Source organism: Homo sapiens, chromosome 15, assembly GCF_000001405.40.
Source record: "Homo sapiens chromosome 15, GRCh38.p14 Primary Assembly".
Taxonomy (NCBI): Eukaryota; Metazoa; Chordata; class Mammalia; order Primates; family Hominidae; genus Homo; species Homo sapiens.
The window spans coordinates 65,283,770-65,291,967 of record NC_000015.10 but is presented as its reverse complement, the minus strand read 5'-3'; the positions used below and the strand labels follow the sequence as shown (position 1 = coordinate 65,291,967).

At 48.5% G+C, this 8,198-nt stretch overlaps 1 protein-coding gene and 1 non-coding gene across 23 annotated transcripts in view, besides 2 other annotated features; both read left to right on the top strand.

Annotated features, from left to right (window-relative positions):
- Nucleotides 4,641-4,690: an enhancer, noted in NCBI's record as "active region_9594". NCBI's record gives its function as "activates an Ori minimal core promoter by ATAC-STARR-seq in GM12878 lymphoblastoid cells {active_cell/tissue: GM12878}" and the evidence as "EXISTENCE:reporter gene assay evidence [ECO:0000049][PMID:35858748]".
- Nucleotides 4,841-5,400: a silencer, noted in NCBI's record as "silent region_6554". NCBI's record gives its function as "represses an Ori minimal core promoter by ATAC-STARR-seq in GM12878 lymphoblastoid cells {active_cell/tissue: GM12878}" and the evidence as "EXISTENCE:reporter gene assay evidence [ECO:0000049][PMID:35858748]".
- The window catches only part of PARP16 (poly(ADP-ribose) polymerase family member 16), a 55,967-nt gene continuing 52,853 nt past the window's right edge, over nt 5,085-8,198 (top strand). For all 22 annotated transcript variants that reach the window (XR_007064469.1, XR_001751341.3, XR_001751342.3 and 19 more), the window contains exon 1: nt 5,085-5,715. Coding sequence is in view for 17 of the 22 variants with exons in the window: in XM_047432777.1 (XP_047288733.1) it covers nt 5,542-5,715 (174 nt within the window). In the remaining 5 variants the exon portion in view is untranslated. The remainder of the gene's footprint in view (nt 5,716-8,198) is intronic.
- SNORA24B (small nucleolar RNA, H/ACA box 24B) lies at nt 6,377-6,507 on the top strand. The gene has a single exon (NR_145768.1). It is a non-coding gene; the product is annotated as a small nucleolar RNA, H/ACA box 24B (small nucleolar RNA).

Genomic DNA, 8,198 nt, shown 5'->3' with positions numbered 1-8,198 from the left:
ACTAATATAAAAATTAGCTGGGCGTGGTGGCACACACCTGTAGTCCCAGCTACTAGAGAGGCTGAGGCAGAATTGCTTGAACCCAGGAGGCGGAGGTCGCAGTGAGCCAAGATCGTGCCACTACTCTCCAGCCTGGTGACAGAGCGAGACTCCATCTCAAAAAAGAAAAAAACAACAGATATACAGTTGACCCTTGAACAACATGGGGGGTTAGAGTTGCCGACCCCTCTCGCAGTTGAAAATTTGCATGTAACTTTTTTTTTTTTTTGGTGGGGAGATGGGGTCTCACCGTGGTCCAAGCTGGAGTGCAATGGCTTGATCTCGGCTCACTGCAACCTCCGCCTCCTAGGCTCAAGCGATTCTCCTGCCTCAGCCTCCTGAGTAGCTGGGACTACAGGCATGTGCCACCACGCCCAGCTAATTCTTGTATTTTTAGTAAAGACGGGGTTTTGCCATTTTGGCCAGGCTGGTCTAGAACTCCTGGCCTCAAGTGATCCGCCCGCCTCGGCCTCCGAAAGTGCTGAGATTACAGGCATGTGCCACCATGCTGATGCATATAACTTTTGACTCCCCCTAAACTTAACTACAAATAGTCTACTGTTGACCGACAGCCTTACAGATAACAGTTGATTAACACATATTATGTGTGTTAAACGTATTATATACTGTATTCTTACTACAATGAGGTAGAGGAAGGAAAATGTTATTAAAGAAGAAGAGAAAATAGGCTGGGCATGGTGGCTAACACCTGTAAACCCAGCACTTTGGGAGGCCAAGGCAGAAGGACCACTTGAGGCCAGGAGTTCAACACCAGCCTGTTCAAGATTTTGTCTCTACTGAAAAAGAAAAAGAAGAAAGAAAAAAAAATTGCTGGGGATGGCATCATGCATCTATATAGTCCTAGCTACTCAGGAGGCTGAGGCACGAGAATTGCTTGAACCTGGGAGGCAGAGGTTGCAGTGAGGTCACACCACTGTACTCCAGCCTGGTGACAGAGTGAGACCTTGTCTCAAAATATATATATATATATATATTTACTATTAAAAAACCCCACTAAATAAACAAAAAGAACATATATTTACTATTCATTAAGTGGAAGTGGGTCATCGTAAAAGTCTTCCTCATTGTCTTCACGTTGGGTATGTTGAGGACAGGGAGGAGAGGTTGGTTTTACTGTCTGAGGAGTGGCAGAGGAGGAAGAGGTGGAGGTAGAAGGGAGGCAGGCATACTCGCTTTAGTTTCAGTGCCCATGTCATAGAAGGGTCCACGTTGTAAAAGCAGTCTTGAATACTAGGAACACTTCCGCCAGATTGTCTAATGTCAGTTGTTCTCCGGCACTGCGTCTTCTACATCATCTTCATCGTCTTGCACTGGTTCGAAGGCACTCATCTCCACCAAGTCATCTATTCGTTCCTCTAGTGTGACATCTAGTAGCCCTTGGATTTCTCCAAGATTCATATCTTGAACCCTTCACCCCACACACATCTCTTTTGCATATCCACAATCTCTTTCTTGATTTCCTTGACAGTCTCTGTCATAAATCTCGTGAAGTCATGCACAACATCTGCACACAATTTTTCTCCAGCATGAATTTATTGTTTCAGGTTTGATGGCCTTCACATGTTTTTCTACAACATCTTCAATGGTGTAATCCTTCCAGACGTTCATGATGTTCTCTTGGTTGAGGTCCTCTCCCATAGTGTTGACGATCCCTTCCATAGAGTACTGGGTGTAATAAGCATTAAAGATTCTTATGACCCCGTGATCTAGAGGATGAATTACAGACATCGTCCCTATTCAGAGGCAAGTAGACCACTTGCACCTTCAGTGTTGAACTCGGGGTTCCGGGTGGCCAAGAACATTGTCCAATATCAAAAGAACTTGAAAAGCTCCTGCTGGCCGGGCATGGTGGCTCACGCCTGTAATCCCAACACTTTGGGAGGTTGAGGCAGGTGGATCACTTGAGGTTGGGAGTTCGAGACCAGCTTGGCCAACATCATGAAACCCCATCTCTACTAAAAATATAAAAATTAGCGAAGCGTGGCGGCACACACCTGTAATCCCAGCTACTCGGGAGGCTGAGGCAGGATAATTGCTTGAACCTGGGAGGTGGAGGTTACAGTGAGCCAAGATCAAGATCGCACCACTGCACTCCAGCCTGGGCAACAGAGCAAGACTCCGTCTCAATAAATAAAAGGCAGCTCCTTACTGGCAAGATATAATACTTCCTGACTTCAAGGACAAAGCATTCAACCAATCCAGAGGAAGGGTTCTTCTTGTCCAGGCCTTCTTGTTGTACCAAGAGTGGCAGCTTGTGTTTATCTTTTCTCTTCAAGGCTTGGGGGTTATCAGCTTTACAGATAAGGGAAGTTCTGATAATAAACCTGACCAAATTTGCACAGAACAATAGTCAGCCTATCCCTTTCTGCCTTAAATCCTGGTGCTCGATTTTCTTCCTTACTAATAAGTGTCTTTTGTGGCATCTTCTTTCAGAATAGGGCATGTTCATCGGCATTAAAAACCTGTTCAGGTGGATATCTTTCCTGTCAGTGATTTTTTTTTTTTTTTTTTTTTTTTTTTTGGGAGATGAAATCTTACTCTGTCACCCAAGCTGGAGTGTAGTGGCATGATCTCAACTCACTGCAACCTCCGCCTCCCAGGTTCAAACAGTTCTCGGGCTTCAACCTCCCGAGTAGCTGGGGCTACAGGCACGTGCCACTATGCCTGGCTAATTTTTGTATCTTTATTAGAGACAGGGTTTAACCATAGTGGCCAGGCTGGTCTCGAACTCCTGACCTCAGGTGATTTGCCCACTTCGGCCTCCCAAAGTGCTGGGATTACAGGTGTGAGCCACGTGCCTGGTCCCCACTTTCAATAATGAATAGAATAAACAGAAGATCAACAAGGAAATCTAAGATTTGAAAACAATATAAATCAACTAGACCTAACAGACATCCATAGAACACTTGACCTAACAGCAGCAGAATATATACATTCACATGAAACATTCTCCAGGATAGGCCATATGCTAGGCAATAGACAAACCTCAATGAATTTAAAAGGACAGGAGTAAACAAAATGTGTTCTCTAAGCCAGGTGTGGTGGTGTGAGCCTGTAGTCTGAGGTACTCTGGAGGCTGAGCCGGGAGGATCATTTGAGGCCAGAAGTTCTAGGCTGCAATGTGCTATGATCATGCTTGTGAATAGCCACTGTGCTCTAGCCGAGGTAACAGTGAGGCCCAGTCTCTTAAACAAAAAACAAACATGTTGGTGATTGCTTAGGAGTGGGCGACATGGTAGGGTGGGTAGAGCATTGATAGACTAGGTGTAGAGAGTTCCTTTCTGAGGTGATAAAAATATTCTAAAATTGATTGTGACAGTTTCACATATCTGTGAATGTACTAAAAACTATTAAATTGTACACTTTAAATGGGTGAATTGTATGGTCTGTGGATTATATCAAATTTATATAAGCAGGGCTGAAACCCCTCCACAAGAAATGTGGTTCTGAGACCACCTTAGCAAATTCTGATAAAATCTAGAAGAATAAAGTAAACATAAGAACATTCAGTTTCACTATCAAGTAAATGCAAATTAAAACTATAATGAAATTCAACTTTGTGTCTATGGAATTGACAAGAATTAAAAAGAATTCTAATATTCTGCATGAGCTAAGTCATGAGAATGCTGGCCATCAGAGGCCCTTCCACACCACCCTGTGATGTGAATATTATCACTATGATTCTCATATCATATGTGACAAATATCTTCAGATAAGCAAATTTTATATATCCACCCAACAAACAATTCTTGAGGCCAAGGAGGTATCAGAGGGTGGCTTTTGTCTAAGGGCCTGCAATGAAGAAGAGGTGGAATGAGAGATGGTTCCCTGGTCTCCTGACCCACTCCAAGCTCTCCCTTCCTGGGGTCTGAGCTTCAGAAGCCACCTTAGAGTTCCTGGGTCCTATGAGAACCCCCATGGCTTTTGAAGCACTAGGGGCCTTGTGGTTCTAGGCCTCAGAGCAAACAGATTTGATGTGGGCTCCTGGGAGCAGCCCCCAACCTTTACCTGGCAAAAGAAGATGGGAAGCTCTGTGGTGTCTGGGGGACCAGTCTTCGCCCTACCTCCCGAAGTCATAGATGCAATCCAATGGCATGGGACCACCTCTCCTCTGAGTCCAGGGCCCAGCACAGCCTGGATGCAGAAGGAGAAGTTTCTTCCTCAGAAGATCCTGCAGGGTAGGAGTGTGTGCGGTGTGTTGGTTTAAGCACAATGGTCTGTGTTTAGATTTGCATGTGACCATGAGGTCACACTTTGGGGTTTTCTCTAATGAAGGTTCTGAGTAGGGAGAGGGGATGGGAGTCTAGTCCTTACCCTCCAGCAGAGTTAAGTCAATGCCCCTCTGCTCTCCCCCAAGCTCCCTGTCAGAGAGGTCTCCCAAGGAGGATCTTGGGGCATTTGAGGCCAGAGACTTAAGCAATTCAGAGAATTCTGGAGGCTGAAAAGCAGAGGAAAAGTCTTTTGGTTTTCCAAAGATCTCGGTGTGAATCCTAGATTTACCCATCTGGCTGTGGGATCTTGGGCAAGCATTGCAGCACTCTAAGCCTCAGTTTCCCTGGGTGTTAAATGGCTCCTTCTGTGCAGTTTTGGAGGGAAAAGATTCAAGAGAGACAATAGGTAGCATTAATACCCCAAGGAAGAGAGGTAGGCTCAGTCCGCAGAGCTGGGACAAAGACAAGTACAGGGGCGGGTCGAGAGGGTGCCCACATCAATTTCTACCAGGGCTGCTGCTGCTGTGAGGATGGCTGGCAGGGGCGTGGGCGACGTCGCCCGGCACACACTGGCGGCGGCAACTCTCGTAGCTGCGGGTGATCGGGGTCTGGGAGGGGCGGGCACAACCCGTACGGTGGAGCTGGCTGGGGCGCGAAGGGGCGGGCCCTCGGCTGGGCCGGGCGGAGCGCGGCGGCGGGAGGGGAGGTAGGCCGGGCAAGGCAAGCGGACGTGAGCTGCAGGCGGAAGACAGGTGGCGCCGCGGGCAGCTTGGCGAGAGGCGGGACTTCGGCGGCGCGGCGGGAGGCGGGGCAGGAAGGCGCGCGCGGCGCAGCAGCCTCGCCCGTCGCGGAGAGTGGGCTCTGCCCGCCGTCCCCCGGGGGCTGCTTCCCGCCCCAGGCCTCCGCGGAGGACACGTGTCAGCACGTTCCCGCGGTTGTCATTCCATTGTCATAGCCCTTCCCCTAGGCCGGGAACCCCTCCCCCCCACCAGCCCCAGTTCCTTTATCCCTGGGCCCAACCTCCCCGCCGACCCGCGGTCCAGGCCTCGGTCTCTCTCTTCGGCGGCGAGCCGCGGCCCAGACCCCGGCAGAGGACACTTGTCGGCACGTTCTCACCCCTGTCATCTCAGCCCCCTGCCTAGCTCCACCCCAGGCTTGGGAACCCGGCCCCTGACGGCCCATTGTCCGCGGGCCCAGCCCCCGCGCTGAACGCACGCTCGCCCTTGCCCCTAACCAGCGCGTCTACCCCGGCAACGCGCAGTGACCTGGGATGCAGCCCTCAGGCTGGGCGGCCGCCAGGGAGGCGGCGGGCCGCGACATGCTGGCCGCCGACCTCCGGTGCAGCCTCTTCGCCTCGGCCCTGCAGAGCTACAAGCGCGACTCGGTGCTGCGGCCCTTCCCCGCGTCCTACGCCCGCGGCGACTGTAAGGACTTTGAAGCCCTGGTGAGTGTGCTTTGTCCTGGCGCTGCCCACTGCGTCCTGGACCAAGTGCCCTGTGGAACCACAGGTAGAGGCAGTTCCATCCGCATTAGTAAACATGACAGCCGCCAGACTTTCCATTCCCAGCTTGGTCTTGCCTTGCCTTGGGGAAGGTTTCCATGAGCTAAGAACACTGCTAACACCCTCATGTCAACGCTCACTCCCAAGGCACTTGGTGGCTGCTTCTCTCCTGTCAATGACAAATGACTCCGAGGACTGAAGTGAGGAATAGTTGCATAGTCCTCCACAGATTTTCTAGCCTGGCCAGGAATAGGGTTGATGTGAATCAGCTGTTTTGCTTAGCTAGAAAGTTATCCATCCTTTTGCAAATAATTAGACACCAAAAAGTCACCAAAGCCGCCCAGACATTGGTCTTCAGATGAGGTGATCTATGGGCAGTACTTTTATAAACTGTAACATCCAGTACATATGTAAGCTGTTATTTCTCTGATTCACCAGGCACTTTTTTTGCAGAGTTCACCTCTGGGTCAGCATTCAAGATATCAGTTATCCTTATAATCCAAATGTTTGGAATTGCCTAGAAAAATATAACTTACCAAAATCGATTCAATAAAAAGCAGAAAATTGAAATCGCCAATAGCTGATATTCATTAAAGACACTGAACTCCATGTATCTTTGGGACCTGTCAAGTGTGGCAGTCTCCCTTCCTTGCCATGGAAGAGCATATTCTTGTTTACCAGCAAAGCTGTCACCATTTAATTGGTATCAGATTCTGACTTGCACAAGTAACATTCTTCACTGTTAAAAACTTGGAGGGGCCAGGCTCGGTGGCTCATGCTTGTAATCCCAGCACTTTGGGAGGCCAAGGCGGGCAGATTACCTGAGGTTGGGAGTTCAAGACCAACCTGACCAACATGGAGAAATCCCGTCTCTATTAAAAATACAAAAAGTTAGCCGGGCGTGGTGGCGCATGCCTGTAATCCCAGCTACTCTGGAAGCTGAGACAGGAGAATCGCTTGAACCCGGGAGGCGGACGTTGTGGTGAGCCGAGATTGCGCCATTGCAGTCCAGCCTGGGCAACAAGAATGAAACTCCATTAAAAAAAAAAAAAAAACCTGGAGGGTGCCAGGTTATTGGGCGAACTTTTCTAGACTATTGTAGAAAAAGAAGAAAAAGGCTGAGTGGCTCATGCCTGTAATCCCAAGGACTTTGGGAAGGCAAGGCAAGAGGATCGTTTGAGACCAGCCTAGGCAAAAAAGATTTCTTTAAATTAGCTGAGTGTGGTGATGCACGCCTGTAGTCCCAGCTACTTGGGAGGCTGAGGCGGGAGGATGGCTTGAGTCCAAGAGGTCGAGGCTGCAATGAGCTGTAATCACACCACTGCCCTCCAGCCTGGGCAACACAGCAAGTCTCTCTCTCAAAAAAAAAAAAAAAAAAAAAAAAGACGTTGGATTAGTAGTCAAGGATTTTCCCTCAAAGAAAACTCTGGACGTAGCTGGTGTCATTGGTGAGTTGTAGCAATCACTGAGGGAATAAGTAATTCCCAGTTTTACACAGAGTATTAAAAAAGAGGCTAGCATAACCTTGACCCTAAATCTGATAAGGGTGATACAAAAAAAGAAAATTATAGGCCGAGTGCGGTGGCTCACACCTGTAATCCCAGCACTTTGGGAGGCTGAGGCGGGTGGATCACGAGGTCAGGAGTTCAAGACCAGCCTGGACAATATGGTAAAACCCTGTCTCACCATTATGGTGGTGCATGCTGGTAATCCCAGCTACTCAGGAGGCTGAGGCAGGAGAATTGCTTGAACTGGGACCTGGGAGGCAGAGGTAGCAGTGAGCCGAGATCGCCCCACTGCACTCCAGCCTGGGCAACAGAGCAAGACTGTCTCAAAAAAAAAAAAAAAAAAAAAAAAAGAGGAAAGAAAATTATAGGCCAATGTCATGAGTATGAATGCAAAAATTATCTTCAAGGTATTAGGATCTTAAAGCTAGCAATGTATAAAAAAGGGTAATTCCTTATGACCAGGTTGGGTTCATCCCAGGAATGCAAAATTAGTTCAATATTAGGCAATCAGTTAATGGCACGAACCACATTGATAGATTAAAGGAGGTATTTAGAATCAACACGTGTTTAGCGTTATCTCTGATGAAATCATCAGTGTTTGGTTCCTCCTTTGCTATCATTCCTAGGAGGTTGAGGGACAAAGGCTGAGCCTCTTGGCCCAACCTGGTCCTGGTAGCCCACCTAATGATGTGTCGAGGGCATCTCAAGTGGTGACCACAGTGCACAGGCGTTTCAGGGTACCGGAAGTGGGAGGTTGGAGAAAGAGGCAAATTGACTGACTTCCCTCGAGATTTGTTCTTGCAGGTTCAGATACTCAATTTTCTGAGTGTGGTGTATCAGGACCTTGGGTACGAAACTTCATTCAGTTTTGGCAACAGATACTTATGGAGTGTTTGCTATGGGACAGGTGCTAAGGAT